Source organism: Homo sapiens, chromosome 14 (assembly GCF_000001405.40).
Source record: "Homo sapiens chromosome 14, GRCh38.p14 Primary Assembly".
Classification (NCBI taxonomy): Eukaryota; Metazoa; Chordata; class Mammalia; order Primates; family Hominidae; genus Homo; species Homo sapiens.
In genome coordinates, this window is record NC_000014.9 from 106612929 (window position 1) to 106639841 (window position 26913).

The 26913-nt window shown below is 42.9% G+C and overlaps 4 pseudogenes, 3 gene segments (V, D, J or C) and 1 further gene; 1 reads left to right on the forward strand and 7 right to left on the reverse strand.

The window, feature by feature from the left end:
* The window catches only part of IGH (immunoglobulin heavy locus), a 1293408-nt gene that overhangs the window by 1026492 nt on the left and 240003 nt on the right, over positions 1–26913 (reverse strand).
* Positions 5981–6286, reverse strand: IGHV3-57 (immunoglobulin heavy variable 3-57 (pseudogene); annotated as a pseudogene). The gene is given in 1 exon segment: positions 5981–6286. A coding segment is annotated over 1 exon segment (306 nt).
* IGHV1-58 (immunoglobulin heavy variable 1-58) lies at positions 9429–9866 on the reverse strand. The segment is given in 2 exon segments: positions 9429–9735; positions 9821–9866. Coding segments are annotated over 2 exon segments (353 nt in total), but the record flags the coding sequence as incomplete, so codon positions are not given.
* Positions 14321–14752, reverse strand: IGHV4-59 (immunoglobulin heavy variable 4-59). The segment is given in 2 exon segments: positions 14321–14624; positions 14707–14752. Coding segments are annotated over 2 exon segments (350 nt in total), but the record flags the coding sequence as incomplete, so codon positions are not given.
* On the reverse strand, positions 18269–18725 carry IGHV3-60 (immunoglobulin heavy variable 3-60 (pseudogene); annotated as a pseudogene). The gene is given in 2 exon segments: positions 18269–18576; positions 18680–18725. Coding segments are annotated over 2 exon segments (354 nt in total).
* RNA5SP389 (RNA, 5S ribosomal pseudogene 389) lies at positions 23644–23933 on the forward strand (annotated as a pseudogene).
* IGHVII-60-1 (immunoglobulin heavy variable (II)-60-1 (pseudogene)) lies at positions 24777–25045 on the reverse strand (annotated as a pseudogene). Its single transcript is given in 1 exon segment — positions 24777–25045. A coding segment is annotated over 1 exon segment (269 nt).
* IGHV4-61 (immunoglobulin heavy variable 4-61) lies at positions 26191–26628 on the reverse strand. The segment is given in 2 exon segments: positions 26191–26500; positions 26583–26628. Coding segments are annotated over 2 exon segments (356 nt in total), but the record flags the coding sequence as incomplete, so codon positions are not given.

Genomic DNA, 26913 nt, shown 5'->3' on the forward strand with positions numbered 1-26913 from the left:
GATCTTGTGAAAATTTATCTACTGGAGAAAAAAATCAGAAAAACTGATCTCAAATAATTGAAAGAAACCGTATAAGAAATTTTTAACAACACAGCCATGAAACTCCAGCCATGAAACTCCAAAAAACTCCAGTCAATTTTTTGGTTCATGTCTTACAACTCAAGAAGCAATGAAGAAATCTGCAAAATTGGAAGCTTTCTCCAACAGAGATCATTTTCCCTAATTGAGCAATAGAACAGTATTTATAAAGAGATACTTTTTCATGGGACCTCCAACTTACACAGATTTCTGTGACCTGAAGAATTTTCCCTAAAAGAATCATCCTCTAGACATCTGTGTATGCAAAAATACATTGTGTATATTTGTGTATGATTAATCTGTAAAAGCCTTTGGCATATTGAACAAACTTCATGTAAAGGTGATAACTTTATCACTTACTGTGCACTCACACTTTACTTGTTTCAAAAGTTCATCACCCTTGTGATGCAGCAATAGGTGCGTTTGAGAATGTGCTGTTGCTTCAAGTGAACACATTCTAGATCCTCATTTGACTTCGCGGTTTCATATTGAGTATCGACATACCTATGACTGAAAGCCCAACATTTTTATCCAACTGAGTTTCCTTTTATGATATCATTCTGAACCCTGCTAACAGCCTCCATCATGCATGCTTCCAATCTTTTGCTTTTGAGGGAGTAAGGGATAAAATTAATCCTTGCTTTAATGTGAGACGCTTTCTTGACTTCTATCATATTTATTAGAAATTCTCATGGAGAGCCATAATCAAACATTATTTGTTTATGGATCATACCTCAAAACTGAAACTGTTTTTCATAATGGCTATACCACTCTATATTTTCACAATTATGGAAAGCAATATAAAGGCACCAAATGAATTAAAACTGGAAATGTTATATGACCAGAAATTCTGCTTTTAGAAATATACCCAAAGCAGATGAAATTACCACCTTGTTAAGATAGTTGAATCCTATGTTTATTGAAACACTATTAATCTTAGCCAATATATGGAAACAATCTGAGTGTCAGTAGATAGACAAATGGATAAAGACAATGTTGTATTTATACACCATAGAAAACTATTTAATCTTGCAAAACAAGAAGATGCTGCCATTTGCCACAAGATGGATTCATTCCCATAACCACTAACAGGGCACACCATCCATTATAGTTCCTCCCTAGGGGATGGCAGATCCTTACTCAGTAGTAAACACTGGCAGTGATGGGAAGTAGACTTTTATGAACTATTGAATTTTTCAGCATAACATATCAAAGTCTTAAAATATTCTGCTGTGTCCGCATGTGATAAAGTGGAGTCTAATATTAGAGGTAAAATTAAAAGTGCAGGGATCTTCTAGACACCAAGTCATAGCATGATCATGTCTGTGTACTTGAGGGTGTGGACCATAGGTCATGAATACTAGTTGGAGTGGTTTTGACAAAAGATGTTCCAGGGATAAAACTTTCTTCAACTGGCCAGAGGCTGCACAGGTGAGGCAGAGGGTCAGTGAGGGCACTTCCAGTCTAGGGCTGACTCCTGTAGCTGCTCCTAGGACAGGACACTTAGAGATATAGAGTCTCAGTCCCTGTCAGTCACGTGCAGTCACAACCATCCCTATAAGTCAGGTCTGACATCTGAAACACTCAACTTGAAAGCAGTCACTGGGCAAAGGAGAAGAAATAACAATGTCATCACCTTCATGAACACAACTCTGCATTCCTCTCAGATCTTCGCCTTCTCTAAGGACAAAGTGATTGGCTTTTCCATTCCCAATGTTGACTCTGAAGGCTTGAAGAAAAATCTTGATGTGGCACAGCTTTGCCTTTGCCTTTATAAGAGAGAGACTGAGGTCAGACTCCCCTGCATTTGAAAGTTTTATTGTTGTCTCTCTTTCTGGCTGAATTGAAGTACTGCCTTGCCAAAAACCACAGCCATTAAGGGTGATGAAGCCTTCTTGATTCTGATGTTTCAACTTGGGACATACGAACTTCTATATCAATTGATTCATGCAAATCTCAGGAGAATAATTACAAAATAACTCTCTAATTCATCAGTATTACTCCAATACTAGGCTGTTCTTACTGCCAAAAATCTTCTGGAAAGGTTGATGAAGAAATACATAGTAAATTCAATTTTAAAATTAAAATTATCAGAACTTTCAGAAACCCCTGAACACCCTTTGCCAAAGGTAGTGCCACTAGTGTGTATAACCTCTAGTTCACTCCTTCAGGGACACAGGCATAATTACCCTATGACTTATATCTGAAGGTCCATGGATGATTTATTTTACCTCCCATATTAGACTGTGCTATATTACATGCAGAACAACAAAATATTTTAAGAGATTGATATTTGCTGTATTAGTCTGTTTTCACACTGCTAATAAAGACATACATGAGACTGAGTAATTTATAGAGGAAAAAGTTTAATGGACTTACAGTTACACATGGCTTGGGAGGCCTCCACATCATGGTGGAAGGCAAGGAGGAGCAAGTTTTATCTTACATGGAGATGGCAGCAGACAAAGAGAGGGCAGGGAACTCCCGTTTTTTAAAACCATCAGATCTCATGAGAGTCATCCACTATCACAATAACGCACAAAGAAGAACTCCCTCCATGATTTAATCACCTCCCACTGGGTTTCTCCCACGACACGTGGGAATTGTGGGAGATACAATTCAAGATGAGATTTGTGCAGGGACACAGCCAAACCATATGATTCCAACACTGGCGCCTCTTAAATCTAATGTCCTTACGTTTCAAAACCATTCATGACTTTCCAACAGGCCCCTGAAGTCTTAACTCATTTGAGCCCCAACTCAAAAGTCCACAGCCCATGGTCTTTTCTGAGACAAGGCAACTCCCTTCCATCTATGAGCCTGTAAAATAAAAAACAAGCAAGTTACTTCCTAGGTACAATGGGGGTTCAGGCATTGTGTAAATACAGCCATTGCAAATGGGAGAAATTGGTCCAAACTGCAGGCCACGTGCAAGTCTGAAATCCAGCTGGGCAGTCAAATCTTAACGTTCCAAAATAGTCTTCTTTGACTCCATGTCTCAAATCCAGGTTACCGGATGCAACTGGTGGGTTCCCATGGTCTTGGACAGTTCTGCCCTTGTGGCTTTGCAGGGCACAATCTCCCTTCTGGCTACACTCATGGGCTGTCACTGAGTGTTTCTGGCTCTTCCAGGCACACTGTGCAAGCTGTCAGTGGATCTACCATTCTGGGTTCTGAAGGATGGTGGCTTTCTTCCTACAGTTCCATTAGGTGGTAACCAAGTAGAGACTTTGTGTGGGATTTCTGACCCAGCATTTCCCTGTCGCACTGGGACTAAAGGCACGTGCCACAACACCTGGCTAATTTTTGTATTTTTCGTAGAGATGGGGTTTTGCCATGTTGACAAGGCTGGTCTTGAACTCTTAACTCCAAGTCATCTGCTTGCCTAAGCCTCCCAAAATGCTGGGATTACAGGCCTGAGCCTCCGTGCCTGGCCAAGACGAATGTAACTATGAAATTTAATGATGTATTTGAAAACTTGATGGTCATACAAGCACACATACATACACAACAGCCCAGCAAAGACACATACATGTGCCCATGCAAAAGTGAATGTATATCTAAACACCAAAACAACGCACCTATTTGTTTCATTTTTTTTTTTTTTTTTTTTTTTGAGACGGAGTCTCGCTCTGTCGCCCAGGCTGGAGTGCAGTGGCGGGATCTCGGCTCACTGCAAGCTCCGCCTCCCGGGTTCACGCCATTCTCCTGCCTCAGCCTCCCAAGTAGCTGGGACTACAGGCGCCCGCCACTGCGCCCGGCTAATTTTTTGTATTTTTAGTAGAGACGGGGTTTCACCGTTTTAGCCAGAATGGTCTTGATCTCCTGACCTCGTGATCCGCCCGCCTCGGCCTCCCAAAGTGCTGGGATTACAGGCATGAGCCACCACGCCCGGCCTGTTTCATATTATTCTAATTATTTAACTGAATTTAAATTGTGTTTACAGTTTGAGATTGTAGTACAAAATGATGCTTTTCTACGTGTATGTCTGCCTCTACCAATATTAAAAAGACAAATATATTTAAATACGTGTTTTGGTAAAAATGTATGTAAATGCCATTCTTGTCAAATACATCACTTAAATGTGCAATGGAATTTATTTTAAATATCTTCTGTTTTTAATAAATTGAATAACCAATAAGACAAACGTCACCTTTAAAATTGTATTATATTATTTGTTGAATTTACATTGTAGTTTTCAAACTAGGCAGGAAAAATTGTTTTATTTGAAAAGTTTTGAAAGAAAACTTTTTTGGCATGAATATTCAATACAAACTCTAATCTTAATTGCCAGTATTCCTTTAAAATAGAGAAGATCCAGCAATATGAAACTGAACACAGCCCATGATTTCCAGGACTCACTCACAATGGCATCTTCCTAGAGGGTGGTCTTAGAGAGTCTAAGCACATGGGGATTTGAACGTCATCATCAAAGCACTAGTGAGCCCCAGGGCTGAGCACACACAGGGAAGCAGGAACTGCAGAGCCCACTCTGTGGTACTTAGGGAAGGGAGGGGATGGGATGAGTGTGATGTGTGCAGGACCCTAGAAAAGGGTGAGGAGGGCAGAGAGTCTGCAGGTAGACGAGCATATTCTAAGGAGAACTGTTATCCTCCTAAACTTGGTTGGCTTCAGTGGTTATGAAGAGAAGGGAACTGTTCACCAGACTTGGAGGACAGAAAGTAAAGGGACTTTCTTTATCCTGCATGGAAACTGAGAAAGAAAAAGACTTTCAAAGAAAAAGGGAAGATGAAGAAATAGTCTGAAAAACAGGACACCCGAAGCGAACCAAAGGGGAGAACAAGAGCGTTTAAAGAGGTGTTTAATTTCCAAAAACAGCAAATGAAAGAAAAAGAAACAGAACACCATGCATATGCTGAGTTACAGTTAGAAAATATATACAACTGATTATTACAGCACAAAGACACAAAGCTCTACTTATTGAAACAGTTTGTATTTTTAAGAAAGGGTCTCACTCTGTCAACCAGGCCGGAGTGTAGTGGCACAATCACAGCTCACTGCAGCATCAACCTCCCAGGCTTAAGGGATCCTCCCACCTCAGACTTTCAAATAGCTGGTACCAGAGGTAGCACCACACCTAGCTATTTTCTTTTTCTTTTTCTTTTTGTATGGAAAAGATCTAAATGTGTTGCCAGGCTGTTCTAAAACTCCTGAGCGCAACTGATCTGCCTGCCCGAACCTCCTAAAGTGCTGGGATTAGAGGTATGATTTTAAAAATTTTACTATTTTCAAGATAGTATCATTTTACATAAATAAAATATATAAATAACCAATTTTAAAAATTGTCCTGAGGGAACATTGCTACTATTACTCGGAAAATCTGCAGAATTAAAAGTTGAATTAAATCCCTGTTCTAACTTAATGTTTTGTAGGTAAAAAAAAATCATGGATTTACAAAGAAGAAATGGTGAGAGATCCTGGGGAAGACTTTTGCTTGACCAGGTCGGGAATCACCAAGGTTTAAAACGAAATCACAGCCTCTCAGGCTCCTGATGTGGAGCTGCTTCCTAAGAGAACCCCCGTGTACTGAGCGCCCCCTGGTGGTTCTGAGTGCCCCTGGTGTCATGAGCGCCCCCTCGTGGTACTGAGGGCACTCTGATATCCTGAGCACCCCTGATGCTTCTGAGCGCCCCCAGGTGTCCTGAGCGCCCCCTGGTGGTTCTGAGAGCCCCCTGATGTCCTGAGCACCCCTCATGGTTCTGAGAGCCCCCGATGTCCTGAGCACCCCTCATGGTTCTGAGCACCCCCAGGTGTCCTGAGCTCCTCCTGATGGTCCTGACTGCCCCTTTGTGGTTATGAGGAGCATCTACCATGCAGTTCCCTCCTGTCTCTCTGCAGAGATTTTTGTGTCTGGGCTCACACAGATATTCCCTCTCCTGTGTCCCTCACAGTAATACACAGCCTTGTCCTTGGCTTTCAGGTTGGTCATTGTAAGGTAGACTGCACATGAAAAGGTGTCGCTTGGGACTGTTAATTTATTTGTACTCATGGAGAGTAACTCTGAGAACTCCCACTTGATCACTCACTGTTTCCACCCACACCAATCCCTGTCATGAAGCCTGCTGGACCAAGCTCATGCTGTAGCCAGTAAAGGTGAAATCAGAGGCTTTGCAGGAGAGTCTCAGTGAACCACTGGGCTGTACAATTTTCTGCCTCTGACTCCATCAATAAACTTCACACAGGACTTCTGCAAACACTGAGGAAATGGAAGAACGGCCCCATGTGGAACAGCCGCAGCTGGACCTGATTCACAAGGGACACTAATATTGAGGGTGATGAGAAGGGAAGCCCAGATCAGTGCAGACCCCATGGTGTGGACACTGATCAAGGGAATATACATGGGGTGGCTCCTCACCAGGGCCTGAAGGAACAGGGGATGAGCTGCCTTTCATGAGGAGGGGAGGGGACACATTGCCATGTCTTTCCTTTTGTGGTCATGGGTGCACTGCTCAGCATTGCTCATCCTTCCTCTGTGTCTCCATTTCGGAAGGGCAGGATCAAAGGACTCCTGGGTCTGGATGCACAGGGTTAATCTGCTTATTACTCTTTCTTATTCTCTCGTATGGACAGTGTTCGGGTATCTTCATAGTAGCAAACATTATTAAAAAATATGTCCAGTAAGAACATAAAAATACATTTCCAGAGAAAAGGGATAAATTTCTCACAAAACAGTTAAATATTGGATATAGGTGCTTGTGTAAGGAAACAGTCAATGTGGAAATCCACAGACTTATCTGACTGAAGACATGTTTGCTTGTCTGAGACAAGAGACCACATGATGCAATGTCTGTTTTCTGAGGAAATAGTAAATGTAAGGACAAATGTTGTAATCTGAGGAAAGAGTCCACGTGGGGACATGTGTGTTTGTCTGAGGGAAGAATCCACATGAGTAAAGGTGTGTTTGTCTGACAGAAGAGCCCCCATGTTGACAGGTGTGTGTACCCATCTGAGGGTAAATGCCCATTCAGGGACAGTGTATGCCTGACGTGTGCTGAAGCTTGTAGAAAATCTTTCTCAACCAAGGAAAGAAAAGAATCCTATGAGTTATTTGCTTGACAGAAGGAAAAAAATACTGGATCACGTAGAAATTTTTTTTTATTAAAGGTCTTTAGTGAATGGTAACATCTTACATGCAAATGAGGAAAATGCCTTCATTCTTTGTTGCATATGTCTCATGATATCCCCACCCTCATCAAATAAGTTATTAGATAATTTTACACAGTCTTGTTTAACCCTGGGGTTAATGAACTGCTAAAGTTTTTTTACAAAAATTGTATATATTTAGGTTTATATTTTCTGTCACAAAAGTATGAGCTTAGCCAAATTAATTGTGTTGTGTCTCAACCATTGTATATCACTAAAAACAATTTTACTCTTCTTAAACAGTGCCATTTTTACTTATTTTATACCCACTCTCTAAATTCCTTGAATATCCTCTATATGTTTACCGGACTATAGTTTTGGCTTTGAAAGAATTTCAAATAAATGACATTATACATTGTCATTGAAATGACTTCACTGAGGAGAGTGGAAAATGAAGTTGCTGACCTAAGCAACTTTGAAAATGAAGAAATTCTATAAGTTTACAGTGTAAAGAAACTGCACATAAGCAGTCTGTTCTAGTAGATAAACATGTTTCCAACGAGCTTTACATTTCTGATACTGCTATGCATGTGTCCTGAAATTGTGCAGCTAAGTAATAAAATGGCATATGGTGGGATGGGGTTCCTCACTTTGCAGTGGGTGGTTATGGACAGTGAGGGAAGGAAGGCTGGAAACATCCATATGGTAGCATAGTTGGATGGAGACACCAGTGTGTTCTCATTTTTAATGTAATCACATTACAGAGGATTAGATACATAAATAGTTTCGATGTGTCCATAAACTTGGGTTCCTATAAACATGCCCATTTACTAGGCCAATTGGTGGAGATATCCTAGAAGAAGTACTGATACCACATTAACAACACACATACCCAGGATCACATTTTTAAATTTCAATACTGTTCTTTAACATGAAAAACAAGCAGTCTTTAGAAAAATGGCTGATTCTATGTACAAAAAAGGTAACGTAGAGAACAAGCTTAGAATTTATTGTAATACTTGGAAACAGGGAAATGTCTAAAAACAAAAAGATGAGGTGTGCTGTAAGGATGCAGGATCCAAACTAAATGAGCTCCCAGCACCTAATAAAGCTGTGGTGTTTTGAACAATAAAACAAGTAATGTAACAAGGATCTTCTTCGGAGTATGAAATAGACATCCATAAACCAATAGGAACATCAATAGATGACTAAATAAAGAAATAATGGGAAGGACACATCTCCTTACAGAAGTATTCCAAATGTCTCAGGTGGATAGTCCTCCAATCAGGTAGGGAAGGTTAAACACTCATGAGTTGATTGTGTCCTAAGATTAGAGACATGGAAAAAATAATGACTATTGTGTCTTTTACAATGAGATTTCAGATATACTGCCAAAGACATGATCTTTAAATGAATAAAAATGTACATTTTTAAAATCTAAATTTGTACATACACAGGCACACACACACACAAACATTTTTCTGCAATACACAGGGATAAGGGAGTAAAAGACAACTGCAGACTTGGAGAAAAAAATTCCAAGATGCATATTTGTTAAATGAATTATTTTAATTTGTTAAATGACTTTTATAATCAATATGCAAGCATACTTACAACTGATAAAAAATGCATTTAAAAAATGAACCAAATATCACGAGAGGCATCTCACCAAAAATTATATAAAAATTGTTAAATATGAATTTTTTAGGGACATGTGCATTTAAATAAAAATTAGATACCGTTACTCACCTATTAGAATGGTTAAAACACACAACACTCTTAATGACAAATGACAACTTGAATGAGGAAAACCAAGAACTATCATGCATTGACGGTGGGAATTCAAAATGGGGCATGCACAAAATAAGATTCTTTTTGGCATTTTTTAAAAATAGAGATAAAAGTAGAGTAAAAATGTGATCTTGTGTCTGTGTTCCAAAATATTTACAACACTGATTCAGAAATTGATGTTTACGAAGATGCCTTCAGAGGATGTCTATATCAGCTTTATTAATTTGATTCATATTCCAATCCCTGAAATAGCTTACAGAATAAATGTTGTATGAAAAATCTCTCAATTAAAATTTCACAAATACACATTTATGTTGTTCCTCTTCTTTAATGACTTGAAGTCGTTTTCTAAGAAAATCTTCAATCTAATAACCTTTGTCATCCCCTCCATGCCAGTACAGCTGCCTCCTTCCTGGCGTTTCTGACACTCTCAGGATGTGGGTTTTCACACTGTGTCTGCCGCACAGTAATACACGGCCGTGTCCTCGGATCTCAGGCTGCTCAGCTCCATGTAGGCTGTGCTTGTGGACATGTCCCTGGTAATGGTGACTCTTTCCTGGAACTTCTGTGCGTAGTTTGTGTTACCACTGCCAACGACGATCCATCCTATCCACTCAAGGCGTTGTCCACGAGCCTGTCGCACCCACTGCACAGCAGAGCTAGTAAAGGTGAATCCAGAAGCCTTGCAGGAGACCTTCACTGAGGTCCCAGGCTTCTTCACCTCAGGCCCAGACTGCACCAGCTGCATTTGGGAGTGGGCACCTGTGGAGAGAACACAGGAGTGGATGAAAGCCACCTTGACTGGACTCAATCCCCTCCTCATCACTGGGACTTGGCATCTCCTTGCCTGTCGCTGCTCCCACCAAGAAGAGGATCCTCCAAATCCAGTCCATAGTGAGGAACTGTGCCGTCAGGGGCTTCTCTAGCGGAGGGATGTGGTTTCTGGATGATGCTCTCAGGGCTGACAAATATCCATATTTACCTCAGTGCATCTCAGGTTATTTGCATATTCATGAGTCAGAGCATTTCATAGCTGAAGACCCTGATTTGGGATAAGAAAGGGAAGGTAAATGACACATCAGCCTTACAAGAGTGGGATGCTGATGCTCCAAGCCCTAATCCTCCTTGAGGAAATGCATGCCCTGCTCCATTTACAAACTTTTGGTGGCCAGACGTCCTTTCACTGAAGACCAAGCACCCAGAGCACATGTTCCTCCCTGTGAACCCATATTTGATTAGCGTAGAGACCACCTGGATGATTTCTGGAACAATCACTCTCCATGACACTGAGAAGGTGCCTTGACCCCATCCTAGTCCCATCAGGCACCAGCACAGCTCACTGGTTACTCTGAGAAAGTGACTGCTGATGTCCCACGTGAGTGTCCAGCAGGTCCCCCTGAGATCATCTGGGCGCTCCTGAGACAGTGTCTCCAGCACCTGCCTGGAATCCTGATCCACCATGATCCTCAATAGAAACACTCCTGGTTTACAGATTTGCCCTGTGATGTACAATTAGAGCTGAATTTCTCATCTCATGGACAACAGGAATCAGAAGACGTAAGAGAAGTTTGGGGTTCCTGATGAACTCACTGCTCCCAAAATAATCGCCAAGGAATTTGTGTTTTGGATAAGTTTGGGTTTTATTTCCTACTCCATTTAATAGAATTTCATGAACTGTTTACTTACTTTCAGTTCATATCCATAGATCCTCATCTTTCCATATTGATTTCTGACTCACTAGGTCTGTGCACCTGCCACACTCTCAGATCCACCACTGCCCTGTCACTCACACAATGTAGGCAACATTACTTAACACTGAAATCTGAATTTTTTATTCATAGGAACATAGTGACTCCCACAATTCTGTATCCTTTCAATTAGTGAAACCATTCCTATCCTTTATATCCTCACTATTAAGATACTTGCAGTCCTCGGAACCCCACAATTCTGTATCCTTTCAATTAGTAAAACCATTCCTATCCTTTATATCCTCACTATTAAGATACTTGCAGTCCTCGGAACCGACTTTAAAACACAGTTCTGGTTGCCTTCAGTTATAGGAAAGGCTCTGACGGAACAGGATACTTAAAGACACATCAGCAACTTCTTGAACACTTAGGATTTTTTTTGTTGCCAAAGGAAGACACAGGCGCTGAGAGGGAACCTCGTCCCCAGCCTCCTGTGCACCCCTCCGGGGATGGAACCTGTGCTGGGCGGCTCCTGCGCGCCCCCTCCAGCCCAGCCCTTGCCTTGCAAGGAAGTTCCTGTGGGGCTCATAAAGCATTTTCCACCAGCTTCCCTCGCCTAACATGAAATGGCTTTGTCCTGGTTTAGAATACTCCTTCAGTGACAGCATACGCTGCTGACACCATCTCTTCAAACAATTGATTAGCCTTACTAAATCTAATGAACTCAAAGCAAGGATGCTATGACACAGGAGGGAGCCCCTTCTCTGAAGCTCCAGTTGCACTGAATCAGTGGATAATGAATCCAAAATCTTACAGGAGATTTGGGTGTGCCTTGGTTCTTGCAGTTGAATGTTGCATCTGAGATTTCCAGCAGGTGCAGATGCTTTCAGATGAGAGCACACTTCATATCCACTATTCCAATAACACACGTTTTCCCTTCCTTCTTGTGCCTCATCTGTAGAAAGTGCCTCCCACATTGACACTAGGCCCAGGTGTCTGACATTTTTCTCCTAGAGATCTAAAGCAAACAGGATACAAGCGGAGACTTCGGAAGTGCATGCAGGTTGTTATTTTGTTTGTCTCAGTTAAGAATCTTGGAAAGTCTTCATGATAAAAGAAGCTGAGGTGAATGAGGGAGTTTCCAAGATCTTGTTTTTAAAAATGTTCACGTCAGAGGCTTCATATTGCTCTACTGTCCTTGTCTAACTCCCTGCCATTGCTTTTTTAGTGTCCCTATGTTCTCCTCAGAGACTGTGCATTGGCACACTCTCATATTTAATCCAGAGCCATCATCCTGGTTAGAAAGGATTGTGCAGTGCGGGTCAGCACTGCTTGTTCTGACCATGGAAACCTAGAGACTCAATCAGATTCCTTTTCTGGGCTGTGACCTTGACCAGGCATCTCCAGGGGAAAAGCTGAATTTTCATCTTTACTCCTTTTTGTGGCTTCAGTTTCCCTGGACTATTTGCTTACATCTTACCCTATTGGCTAAACTTACTCATTTGTATAATAATGGAGGAAGTGGGGAGGGATCTGGAATGGGCAGATTTTTCTTCCCTTCACATAGTATGAGGTTCTGGAAAAGTTCTTCCCTGTAGGATCTTTTGGAGAAGGCTCCTGATATATTTTTCAGTAATTAAACTTCCCCAGTTATGACCCATAGGAAACATATTTGGATTGTATTTTTTAGATTCTGGAGATTTCTAGAGGGAAATTCCAGAAGACTGAGGAGAGTGCGGCCCTCTGGAACTGTCATTTCACCCTAGTCCACATCTGTCTTGCAGACGTCTATAGTGCTAACCACGTAAGTGCCTTCAACAGCTTGTGGCTTCTGAAACTTCTCTTCCAGTTAAGCAACCATCAACTGCTATTCTGGACATGCCCATCTCTCTAGTTTTTGGGGTGGTAATTTAAAAAATGGAATTTCATTCATTTGATGGATTCTAAAATGTATTGAAGATCAGATTGTGCAGATGACTCTTGGCATAAGAATGAGGGTGATGACTTTTGTAATCTTTACACTTTGGAGCAAAGACCAAAAGTACAACCATAGGTCCTTTTCATGTGTTACTGGAGGCAGGATTCTAACCTGATTACATAGATGTGGCACCTGGTCTGACATAAATGAACAGGCAAGAAAACAAGAAAGGACATGGCACAACGCTTATGAAAAAGTCTCTGCAATTTTAATTTTCTCATGAGGAAGCGGAAATTGTGAAAGTGTAACAGTGTGACTGGTCATTTCTCAGGTGATGTGTTCTGGAAAGTTTCTCCAATCCTGGGCTGGATCCAGTAGGTGTACTCAGGCACCCAAGCCTGAAACAGGGACTCTTATTCCTTAAACAGAAGACATTCCAATGAGAAAGCTGTTCTCAGGTGAGTTGCAGAGCATGGAGGAGGAGATAGAGGCGTCCTTGGCTTCCCAGAATTGCTGAAACTTGAAGACCAAGGCCAGGATAGATAAGACCTTTCCCAGAGAAGCAAAAACTAAAGGAGTTATTCAACGCTGGGCCTGCCTTAAATACCAATCAGTGCAAATTTAGAAAGTTGAAGACATAGAGTAATGTTGGTGTGGTTTTCTGTGGCATACTTAGGAGACAGCAGAAGATGGTCAGTGGTCAGTCTCCATCCAACTGGTACTCATTGTTCATCAGTTATGTCCTAATAAATGATAAAAGGCAACTTTTGTGACAAAGCCCCCAGGGCTTCTTTAAAAGACCTTGCCCAGAAATTGGCCAACAGGGACATGACAAATTTTTATATCAGAACTACTATTTTTTGCCTACTTTATGTGGAAATCTGAGAGATGTGCCCAGCCCCAGCGGGCTGATTCTGCATCCAGGGGACAGCGCTAACAGAGTTATGTGGTATTAGTCTGTCTGGATCTTCATAAGAAGACAACAGGAGTGGGTGGCTTAAACAACAAATATTGATTTTCTTAAAATTCTGCAGTCTGAATGTTGAAGATCAATGTTCTGGCAGGGTTGGTTCTTGGTGAGGCTTCTTCCTGGCTTGCACTGGGCCACCTTCTAGTGCATTACGTCTCCACATGGCCTCTTCTCTGCCTGCACGTGAAAAGTGAGAGGTCTCTGGTGTCTCTTCCTCTTCTTATAAAGACGACACGTCTGTTGAATTAGAGTCTTACACTTATGACCACATTTAACCTTAATTATTTCATTAAAATTCCAATATACATCAATTGAATTTAAGGTTTCTGCATATGAATTTCAAAGAGGGCACAATTCAGTTGATGACACAAATCAAGAGATGCTGAGAAGCGTTAGAATATATATTTTTTAATCAGTAAGCTATAATGGGCCATGCAGGAACTTCTAGGAAAGTTCCTAGTAATTGGTGAAACTTCAACTACAGACGAAAATTTGTCTTCCTCATTTCTTTCTTGGCACAAGAATGTGAGGAAGCAGAACCACAGATAATAAAGAAAGAGGACCCCTGGGGACAGCTGAGGTGCTGGCGAGGAGGGAGACCACTGAGCAGATGAGGAAGCCCCGCCCTCCCTGCACCTGCTCCTGACCGGGCCTCCTGCTCTGTGGGCCCCGCGCGCCCCCTGCTGGCGCTGAGCAGCACCTGCGCCGGTCCCCTCCGCCTCCCTGCACGGAGGTTTTTGTCTGGGCTCACACTCACCTCCCCTCACTGTGTCTCTCGCACAGTAATACACGGCCGTGTCCGCAGCGGTCACAGAGCTCAGCTTCAGGGAGAACTGGTTCTTGGACGTGTCTACTGATATGGTGACTCGACTCTTGAGGGAGGGGTTGTAGTTGGTGCTCCCACTGTAATAGATATACCCAATCCACTCCAGTCCCTTCCCTGGGGGCTGCCGGATCCAGCTCCAGTAGTAACTACTGATGGAGCCACCAGAGACAGTGCAGGTGAGGGACAGGGTCTCCGAAGGCTTCACCAGTCCTGGGCCCGACTCCTGCAGCTGCACCTGGGACAGGACCCCTGTGAACAGAGAGACCCACAGTGAGCCCTGGGATCAGAGGCACCTCCCATATCCCCATGTCTGGATCCCTGAGATACTCACATCTGGGAGCTGCCACCAGGAGAAGGAAGAACCACAGATGTTTCATGTTCTTGCACAGGAGGTCCAGGACTCTCAGAAAGTATTTCCCATGTGAGCTGGAACCTGAATTTAAGGAAATGTGTGGTGGTTTCCTGTGGGTGCTTAAGTGAGGATTTGCATGTGGGTGGTGCCTTTGTATGGAGAGGTGAAAAAGGAGGAGGGAGGCCCCAGTCTTTTGGGCTCGCCCTGGGAGTAGGATGCTGGCTGTGCCCTTTGAGAACTCAGTTGTCTTCTTGGGGTCTCCCCTCTCCAAGCCCAGAGTCCTCTTCTTTCAGGTAAAGAGACGTGCTGAAGGACCTGGTCTGGGAGATGAGTGTGATCATGGATCAAGGACAGATTTTGGAATATGGTCAATATTGTTCTACCCTTGAAGATTCATATAAATTGTCATCTAAATTGTCATTTACTACTTCAGACACATTGAAACAGCAGCTGAATGTAATAATGACAGTGACTTCAAACAATCCTGGATCCATCCAATGTTTATTGTAGTTCAGAACATCCACCATGGTTATAGGGAAGCTCCCTGTCCCTGGAAGTGGGTCATTTTTTAAAAGCACCTGAGAGCTGTCCTTCTGTGTCCTTTTGAAATCTGGGATTCTGTCTGAGATCTCAGGAGAAGGTAGTGGGACATATCTACATCCTTCTCAATGTGTGACCTTGAAGATGTGTCCTGGCCTCTAAACACTTCTGATTGAAAATATGTAGATTGGGGATTGCAGTGAGAACTTCAGACAAAAACTCTATAACAGGTCAGCACTGGAGGATAGTCTCATGAAGATCATGAAGATTAGTGCGATTACCTTTCCTGGGAACCAGAGAGGAACTCTGTGACCCCTTCCCTCTGAGAGCACAAGGAACTCTGATCCTTCCCTGACAGGACACACTTGTGAAACATGGCTGGACAATGACACTCAAGTCCAGAGTCCTTACCCACATATTTATCATTTCAGATCCATCTGTCTCTGAAAGACTTTCTCCTCCATTGAATTGCATGAACATACCCTAGGATGTGTGGTATTGCAACTTGGACATTTGACATTAGTTTGGTGAATTATATAATAAATAATCTATCTCCATGGATGTGGGTAACAGGAGAGTCATCAGAAGTTTGAAGTGTTTTAAAATCAGAACAAACCTGGGCTTTCTTGTTAGGACGTGAACAACTGGGCTGACCTGTGGGACAACAGAGGGAAAGAGACAGACCCCACACCAGAGCCAGGTGAACTCCTTACCTACCGGATGGTCTCTGGGCATTTTGTTTGAACAGATCGAGAAGGAGCTTCCTCACACTCAGGAGAATTATGAACATTGAGGGAAATTGATATAAGTTTTTATTTACAGAGAATAATTCATAGGCTTGTGGACATCTATGTGGGTGTGTGCAGGGTTGCTAAGATATGCTTATACACAGAACAGAAAGAATTATATTTCATGGAAAGAAAAGCAAAGAGCTTCTGAATTTGTAGGTATTGTTTGCCACAAATGTGTGAGATCACTAGATCATGTTATGATGGTGGAGATAAAACTTCCCAACATTGTCATGGAGACAAATTGCAAAAGAGTAAAGATTCAAGTGAGATTCCTTTGAAAAATACCAGTAATGAACAGGCCAAAAAAATGAACCATTATGGAAAGAGTGCTAAGAATTGGGGTTTGAGAACCTCTGCCTAGATTTCAGAAGGTGTATGAAAACACCTGGATGTCCAGTCACAAGTTGGCTGCAGTGGTGGCTCATTCATGGGGAACCTCTGCTAGGGCAATGAGGAAAGGAAATATAGGGCCAGAGCTCCCACACAGAGTCCCTACTGGGGCACTGCCTAGTGGAGCTGTGAGAAGAGGGCTGCTATCCTCCAGACCCTGGAATGGTAGATCCACTGACAGTTTGCACTTTGTGCCTGGAAAATCCACAGACACTGAACACCAGCCTGTGAAAGCAGCCAGGAGGGAGGCTGTACCCTGCAAAGCCACAGGGGTGGAGCTGCCCAAGACCATGGGAACTCACCTGTTGCATCAACATGTCCCGGATGTGAGAAGGGGAGTTACAGGTGATCATTGTGGAGCTTTATGATTTGACTGCCCTGCTGGATTTTGGACTTGCATGGGGTCTTTTTGTTATGGGCAATTTCTGTCATTTCCAATGGGTGTGTTTACCCAATGCCTGTAACTTGCTTTTGAATTTACAGGCTTATAAGTGGAAAGGACTTGCCTTGTCTCAGGTGAAATGTTGTACTGTGGACTTCTGTGTTAATGATGAAATGAGTTTAGCCTTTGGGGAGCTGTTGGGAAGGCATGATTGGTTTTGAAATGTGAGGACGTGAGATTTGGGAGGGAACCTGGGGTGGAATGATATGGGTCGGATGTGTCCTCACTCAAATCTCACTTTGATGTGTAACTCCCATAATTCTCAATGTTGTGGGAGGGACCAGTGGGAGGTGACTGAGTTATGGGGGTTGCGTCTCTCCTGCACTGTTCTCTTAATAGTGAATGAGTCTCATGAGATCTGATGGTTTTAAAAAGGGGAGACCCAGCACAAGCTCTCTTCTCTTGTCTGCCGCCATGTCAGATGTGCCTTTCACCTTCCACCATGATTGTGAGACCTTTCCAGCCACGTGGAACTGTAAGTCCAATAAAACTCTTTCTATTGTAAGTTTCCTCGTCTCTGGTATGTCTTCATCAGCAGCGTGAAAACAGACAAACACAGTCAGACGTGCTCTACTCAAGGTCTCTGCACATGGAGGAAAAACAGGGAAATTGGAAAATGCATTTTCTTGGTCTGTTGAAAAATACCTATAGAAAACACAACCTTGTGCCAGGACATTATGCAGAATTCAGAAATATTGGATTTGGAATAAATGTGAAAATTACAATCATTTATAGATGCACATTTGTTCATTTATCTTCAAATGAAATAAAGTAAAAGCAGGTTTTCTGTGTAAAAACCCACAAAGAGTGTGTTGACCTTGAGAATACACCCCTCTCTCAGCTTCTAAAGGTGAGAAAATGCACCTGGATCAGGTGTCAAGCTGCTGCTTTGTGACGTCTGTGGTATGGCTTGTGCTGAAGCCCAGGTGCTGTGGTCAATTCTAATGAAAGGAAGGACTCTTCAATGGTTTTGAGGCAGAGCCTTTGCTGGAGTCATCGGGGTCCCCTGTGGGGTATTTTCCTCAGGACAGTGATCAATGTGATCAAGGCAGGTCATTTCTGCCCCCAAAGTGACACTCAGGCTTCTGCAGGGTGAGGATGTGTCCTCCTGTTACAAAAAAAAAAAAGATACAAAGTTGAGGGGACATTGTGCAGTCAGAGACGACATCAAATGTTATTACAGAATTGGAAATCTAGAGATGGTCCCTGGGGTAATTTGCTAACAATGCAACCCTAGATCATGACAGGAAACCCAGGCTTATATCACCTGGACTTGCCCCTGGGGACAGCCCAGTATACAGTGTCCCAGGCTTTCCCTGATTGTCCCAGGTACCCTGCAGGAGGTTTGTGTCTGGGCTCACACTGACTTCTCACTGCGTCTTTCACACAGTAGTACACAACTGTGCCCTCGGCTCTCAGGCTGTTCATTTGCAGAGACAGTGAATTCTGGGCATTGTCTCTAGAGATGGTGAATCAGCCCTTCACAGAGTCTGTGTAGAGTACGGTATCACCACTTGTACTAATAACTGAGACCCACTCCAAACCCTTTCCTGGAGCCTGGTGGACCCAGTGCATAGCAGAGCTACTGAAGGTGAATCCAGAGGCTGCACAGGAGAGTCTCAGAGACCCCTCCAGTCTTTACTAAGCCTCCCCCAGACTCCACCAGCTGCACCTCACACTGGACACCTGCAAACACGGAGACACCCTGGTCAGAAACTGCCACACAAATCCACTGTTTCTCTCACTTATGTCCAGTCACACTCAGTGTGTCTCATTCTCCATAAATCACCTTTTAAAACTGCAACAAGGAAAATCCAGCTCAGCCCAGACTCCATGGTGTGTCTTCTGTGTTCAGTGTTCATGACCAAGTGGAGACAGCTGGGAATCCCGGGGCGGGGGCTCCTCTCCCAGAGCTGCAGGGTCAGGATTTGGCTGATTTTCAGCAGCAGAGGGAGGGCCCTATTTGCTTGTCTCCTACTACATAGAGAGCTCTGGGGTGGGAATCCTGAGGAGACGGCAGACCCCAGATAAAATGACACGGCCCCACAGGAGTTGGGTGACAATTACGGTATTTGGAAAATACACTGTCTTATTAGGAAATTTTGTTGTGATAAGTATTTGCACTATTTTATCTTTTGTATATTTCTGTAAATTATGTTCTGTAGGAGTCAATGGTTTCTCCATTTACATATGTGGAAGTCAACCTACACATGGAGGAGGGGCTAAGTGTGTGTCCACGAGGTCATGTCTGAGATGAGTGAGCCCCGGTATCTGGGCCTGTGATTCCTCATCACTGTTACTCCCTGAACCAAATCTTGGTAAGAATTGGACATACCTCGTGTGCTTTGTGGAACCCACTTCCTGTACTGAGAATGTGTGTGATTTTGGTGCACGCTACCATTCACCTAAAAATAAGGACGGAACTAGGGTCAGGAGTTAAATTCTCAGACATTTCTGACATTTAATATATATTTTCTATCTTTATACCATCCTTTCTTTGTCTAATTTTTCATTTGTCTGCTTGCAATAAATTTTGCGAGTGTTAATTGGCAGATAATAGACTTCACATATTTAAAGTGTGCAATTGATCAACATGATGTAACCCATCATTTCCAAGCTGGACAAGTGAACTCCCCTCAACATTTTCTCTTGTTCTTCTGTAAGTTTCCTCCTTTCCCCTTCCTTTGGTCTACCCTTTTTCCAGGTAACTACTGATCTTCTGGATATTGCTTTAGATTCTTTTTCACTTAAAAGAAATTGCATAAATGGAGTAATATGGTACATATTCTTATTTGTCTGGCGTATTTTACTCAGCATAAACACTTAGATATTTTTCTTTGTTGCTCTGTGTACCAGAAATATATTTATTATAAGTGATGAGTAGTGTTCCAGTGAACACATTTACCATAATTTGGTTTTTTTGGGGCAGCTGAAAAATGTTTGGATTCTTTTATTATTCCAGGTTTTACTTAAAAATATGCTGCTCAGCTTAAAAATGTACATGAATGAGAAATATATATTTATTTTTAAAACAATAACATCAGCAATAACAGATAAACAGAAAAGATGGAAGTTCGCAAATTTTATTAAATGCTTCAGATAACTGAAGGTTTAAAACAAAAAAAATTGAAATCTAGGGAGAGGCAAGTTCTAGTACAGAGTAATAAAGTCAAGATATGAAATTACCTGAGGCACAGTCTGTCGTATTCAACGTAGGCCATTACAAGATGGAGCACAAATACACATTGCATTGCTTGAAGTCGAGTGTGTTAAGCGTGTTGTAGTGAGAAATTCTAAGGGACAACATACTGAAGAGTTGTGCTATTCTCTTGAAGAACCTTTACAGTCACAAGAATCTATCCTTCCCAAAGTGACTGTCTGGGAGAGAATGAGAGCCCACACTTCTGAAATGCATCCAGACCCAACTCTCTGATTCCCACTATGAAACTCAGATATTACCCTGCAGGAGCAAGCCATGAAAATCAGCATCCTAGGGCACTGGAGCAGCCCCTCATGAACTGATATGGGAACAGAGGTCCCCATCAAAGATCTATTGAGAAGCAGCTCCCCTCAGTTTCTTATGGAATCAGAGCCTTAATCTGCAGGTCATGGCAGCAGATCTGGAAGATGGGGACACCAACAGAGATTGTGAGAGCTGTGGGAGGGAACAACTGGGGAAAACAGGAGGACTCTACCCCAGGGGAAGAGGCAAGAACACACAGACCAGTATCTCACTTGCAGGAGGGTCGGGAAAACTTGGAAGGTCACACTCAGACTCAGGATCACAACGGCTTTCTAGAATTATGGCCCAACGAGAGGTCAGTTTCTTCCTTTAGTCTAATGCCTTCCGCCAATTTCACAATTGGCAGTTAAATATAACACTTTAATCCACCCTAGGAATGTGAAGGAGATTCTCTGTAGAATGGAATGAGGTGAATAGACAAAGCCAAGCAGGCATGAAAACAAGGTATCACTAGAGTATCTGAAGTCTCCAGTGGACATAGAAGAACACACTTCAACTGCTACAGCCGTTGCAAAAGTAAATGTCAAATGTAGCTCTGAAGAGATGCACAGACATCTCCACAATCAAGGCCCAGCACAGATAGGGTGTGGTCAAATACAGGCAGAAATGCACAAAATAAAATAATACGTCAATATCAAGGGTCCAAATATGGCTGGTTATCAACAAAAATTATAACATTCATCAAAGTCATATAAGTTATAAAAAACACCAAAGTCATAATGGAAAAATCCTCAGAATTGATATTTGTAAATGACACAATACTAGAACTATCTTATTAAGTAGGATATTTAAAGTAATTGAATTTGTTAAAAGTATCTGAAAGAAAATGTGGACACAGTGCAAGACTAGATAGGTGACTGACAGAGAGAAATACTAAGAAAGAATCAAATGGAAATTCATAAAATTATCAAAAGTGATGCAGTATAAAGTTGAATATACCTTGGGCACGCTCAGCAGTAGAATTCGCTCAGCTCTTAAATGAAACCAGGGACTTCAACTCCGTTACTGGAAATTACACAAAGTGAATTTCAAAGGGAAAAAGAGTGAAGAAATTTAAGAACTAACATCAAAAAGTATAGTGTAGATATATTTCAAATTTCAAAAATAGAAATTAGAAACAGAGAAAATATCTTAAGAATTAATGATATCTTAAGATATACTTATATCTTAAGATATATTTCTTAAGAAAAATATCTTAAGAATGTGAAACACCTAACTACAGATCCAAAAATTAGAGGACCCCAAGCCGGGTAAACACACACAGACACACCTGCACGATACATAGGAACATACTCTGTGAGCCAAGAGTTCAAATTTACAGTGAGCTGTTATCACACCACTCCACTTTCAACGTGCAACAGAGAGAGACTCTGTCTCTAAAAACAAACAAAAAAGAATGAATAAGATTTTCGGCCCGGAGCAGTGGCTCACACCTGTAATCCCAGCACTTCGGGAGGCCAAGGTGGGCGGGTCACCGGAGGTTGAGAGTTTGAGACCAGCCTGACCAATGTGGAGAAACCCCATCTCTACTAAAAATACAAAATTAGCTGGGCCTGGTGGTGCATGCCTGTAATATCAGCTACTGGGAGGCTGAGGCAGGAGAATCGCTTGAATCTGGGAGGTGGAAGAGGCGGTGAGTCAAGATCGTGCCATTTCGCTCCAGCCTGGGCAACAAGAGCGAAATTCCATCTCAACAGATAAATAAATAAATAATAAAATGAAATAAGATAAAAAAGGTTTTCACACAACTGCAAGGCTACTAAAATAGGAGATGTTAATCTGAGCATCCTCAAAGATTCTCTGGTGTTTCTGATGTCTTTAAACAGATAGCTGACCTAAGACCTTCAGACTAAGCTGATAATCCTTAATAGCAAAAGGTTTCCACCCAAGTCACTGGACCTGGACCCCTGTCTAATTCTGCACACCCTCCTCCTGCTTCTCATTATTATTTGCTTTGACTTATAAACACTCATCTCATTTTCTGTAGACCTGAGTGTTGCCCATCATATTGAACCCTTATCTCGTTTTTTATTCATTATTTTTATAGTTGCTACATAGAATAACTTGTCACACTGTATTTTGGTGTGTGACTGCTGATAGCTTAAGGCTCATTCCTCCATTACCTCCTTTTTTACACACAAGGTGAATATCGGTCCAGAATCACAGGAGCTTCCTTATTTGAAGCCAGTGGGAGTTTCCCACCCTATAAACCCCTTTCTGTGAGTGGAAAGACTCAATCTGCCCCCACCACCAAACCCTGAGGCCCTCTCTTTCCCTGTTCTATCAAGCCATTTTGCACTTTCCTGAGAGAACTGCCCTGCTCTCAGCAGACACGTCTAGAATAGAGATAATTATCCCTTCCATATCCACTTGGTCTGAGGGTGTGTCACCATCCAACATCACATCCACACTAAATCTTAGTTGAGATATCTTGGCCTTTGCATGACGTCAACTACAAGTGGTGCTGGGAGCTTGGTGTCACAGCTCCTGTTAACAGGACACATCTGATTCCTGAACCAACTCTGGGACAGAACTGGACATGTGATATGGTTTGGTTCTGTGTCCCCACCCAAATCTGATCTCGAATTGGAATTGCCACACGTCCAGGGAGGGACCTGGTGAGAGGGGATGGGCTCATGGGGTGGTTCCTCCATGCTGTTTTCATGATTGAGGTCTCAGATTGAGGTCTCAGGAGATCTGATAATTTAAAGTGTGTGGTGGTTCTCCCCACCTCTCCTGCTGCCATGTGAGATGTCTCTTGCTTCCCCTTCACACTCTGCCTTGATTGCAAGTTTCCTGAGGCCTTTCCAGCCATGTAGAACTATGAGTCAATAACCTATTTTCTTTATAAGTTACCCAAACTCAGGTAGTTCTTTGTAGCAGTGGGAAAACAAACTAATACAACGTGCCTGGAGTGGTTTAATAAACCCCCTTCACGTCATAAAATGATGTCATTATTTTGCTGTATTGTAGTGTTTTCATAAAAACATAGAGAAGTGCAGGCTCACTCATGTGAATATTCAGGTGTCTCTGACTTTTTATGTATTTTATCTCTGTCTGACTCCGTTTCTACCAAATTACACACGTTACAGTTAGTACTATCTTTAATGATGTTAAACTAAAAAAAAAGATCTTCACATGAAGTGTTCAATTGTACAAATATTATCATAGACATCATTATTATCAATATAGATAACAAGTCAATTATGCTTAAAATTTTCTCTTTTCTGTAATTCCTCCTGTCTACACTTTCCCTTCTATAATATTCACAGTGAACTACTGATTCTTTATGTAACTTTAGTTTTTATTCTATAGAATGTATAAAAGTGTGTCTACGGCCATACCACCCTGAACGCGCCCGATCTCGTCTGATCTCGGAAGCTAAGCAGGGTCGGGCCTGGTTAGTACTTGGATGGGAGAATGTATAAAAGTGGTATCATATGTGTGTACTTTTATTTGTTTGGCTCATTTTACTCACCATATGAGAATTTAACCATACTGTTGAGCGTATCCAACATTAGTATATTGTGGTCACAGTCAGTAGTATGCCAATGAATGACTTTTCCACAATTTGTTTACCAGTTAAGCTGATGATTGACATTTGGATTGTTGGCCATCTCAGTATGATAAGCAAAGCTGCCACTCAGCTTGGAGAAGTACACAGCTGAGAATCTCATGGTTCTTATACTTACAGCAGCATGAACAACAACAAAGATGGGAAAGCTGCACATTAATCAATTTTATTCAATACATCAGGTAATGAAAGTTATAGATTTCTTTGCGTGTGGAGTGGGGATTATGTCCATTTGTGTGAGAGAGAATAAGGGGAAAGGGAGACAAGGAAAGAGAGGAAACCTACAAAACTGACCACAATTTATGAGGTCCTCAAGTAATTACAGGGAATTAGTCCTTACGAACAAGGCCGATAGAAGTTGAAGAGGAAAACTTGACACACCTTCGTATGGTTATATATTTATAGAAGTATGATTTTCTAATCATACACTCATATGCAGTAGAACACATGTAGTGGAGGGTGTCTAGTGGTGAAATATGATGGTGACACAAAACCCCTCATCCAGCCCCTTTTCACCCCATCTGCACCTGCCCTGAGGCTGAGCCTAGAACCTGCTGTTTCTGAGTCCCCACAATGGTCCTGAGCCCCCTGCTGTACCGAGTCTCTTCTGGTGTCCTGATTTTCCTCGATGGTTCCTGAGAGCCCCCGGGTGACCTGAGTGCCTCTACAATGGTCTTGCGTGTGCCCTGGAATCCAGACCACCCCCTTCCATCATCGGCACTCCTGCTGTCCTGTGCACCCCTCCAGGAAGGTTTGGGTGTGAGCTCGCACCGTGGTCCCCTCACTCTGTCTCTTCTTTAAAACATGGCTGTGAGCTTGTTGCTCACATAGCTCCACTGTAAAAACAAGTGTTTTTTGGACCCGAATTTGGAGATGGTGACTGGATTCATAAGGAGTGGGTGGGAATTTTTGCTCCCTTCATGACGTGTGCGCCTGGTCCACTCCAGTCCTTCCCATGTGGACTCGTGGATCCAGCTCCAGCAGGAAACACTGGTTGTGATGGAAAATCCAGAGACAGCACAGGTGAGGGAGAGGGTCTGCGAGGGCTCCACCAGGCCAAGAGTGCACTAAGAAACACAGTTGTTTGTGAGCACAGATTCTGGACAGAATGTTAACATTTCCAAAGACACACATTTTAATGAGAATAAAGAGCTCACTGGTGTTCAATTTTTGATTCTGCTAGAGCAATGCAGTAGATTCCACGGTTAGAGTCCCACAAACATATGGTCTCCATTTCCCCGCAAACTTGGCTTATTTAAAAGACCTTGCCCAGAAATTGGCCAACAGGGACATGACAAGTTTTTATATCAGAACTACTATTTTTTACCTGTTTTATGTGGAAATCTGAGAGATGTGCCCAGCCTCAGGAGGCTAATTCTCCATCCAGGGGACAGCACTAACAGAGTTATGTGGTATTAGTCTGTCTGGATCTTCATAAGAAGACAACAGGAGTGGGTGGCTTAAACAACAAATATTGATTTTCTTAAAATTCTGCAGTCTGAATGTTGAAGATTAGTGTGCTGGCAGGGCTGGTTCTTGGCGCGGCTTCTTCCTGGCTTGCACTGGGCCACCTTCTAGTGCACTATGTCTCCACATGGCCTCTTCTCTGCCTGCACGTGAAAAGTGAGAGGTCTCTGGTGTCTCTTCCTCTTCTTATAAAGACAACACGTCTATTGCATTAGGGTCTTACAATTATGACCACATTTAACCTTAATTATTTCATTAAAATTCCAATATAGATCCATTGAATTTAAGGTTTCATCATATGAATTTCAAAGAGGGTACAATTCAGTTGATGATACAAATCAAGAGATGGTGAGAAGCATTAGAATATATATTTTTTAATCGATAAGTTATAATGGGTCATGCAGGAACTTGTAGGCAAGTTCCTAGTAATTGGTGAAGCTTCAACTATAGACGAAAATTTGTCTTCCTCGTTTCTTTCCTGGCACAAGAATGTGAGGAAGCAGAACCACAGATAATAAAGAAAGAGGAGCCCTGGTGACAGCGAGGTGCTGGCGAGGACGGAGACCACTGAGCAGATGAGGAAGCCCCGCCCTCCCTGCACCTGCTCCTGACCCGGCCTCATGCTCTGGGGGCCCCGCGCGCCACCTGCTGGTCCTGAGCAGCACCTGCGCCGGTCCCCTCCGCGTCCATGCAGGGAGGTTTGTGTCTGGGCTCACACTCACCTCCCCTCACTGTGTCTCTCGCACAGTAATACACGGCCGTGTCCGCAGCGGTCACAGAGCTCAGCTTCAGGGAGAACTGGTTCTTGGACGTGTCTACTGATATGGTGACTCGACTCTTGAGGGAGGGGTTGTAGTTGGTGCTCCCACTGTAATAGATATACCCAATCCACTCCAGTCCCTTCCCTGGGGGCTGCCGGATCCAGCTCCAGTAGTAACTACCACTGCTGACGGAGCCACCAGAGACAGTGCAGGTGAGGGACAGGGTCTCCGAAGGCTTCACCAGTCCTGGGCCCGACTCCTGCAGCTGCACCTGGGACAGGACCCCTGTGAACAGAGAGACCCACAGTGAGCCCTGGGATCAGAGGCACCTCCCATACCCCCATGTCTGGATCCCTGAGACACTCACATCTGGGAGCTGCCACCAGGAGGAGGAAGAACCACAGGTGTTTCATGTTCTTGCACAGGAGGTCCAGGACTCTCAGAAAGTATTTCCCATGTGAGCTGGAACCTGAATTTAAGGAAATGTGTGGTGGTTTCCTGTGGGTGCTTAAGTAAGGATTTGCATGTGGGTGGTGCCTTTGTACGGAGAGGTGAAAAAGGAGGAGGGAGGCCCCAGTCTTTTGGGCTCGCCCTGGGAGTAGGATGCTGGCTGTGCCCTTTGAGAACTCAGTTGTCTTCTTGGGGTCTCCCCTCTCCAAGCCCAGAGTCCTCTTCTTTCAGGTAAAGAGACGTGCTGA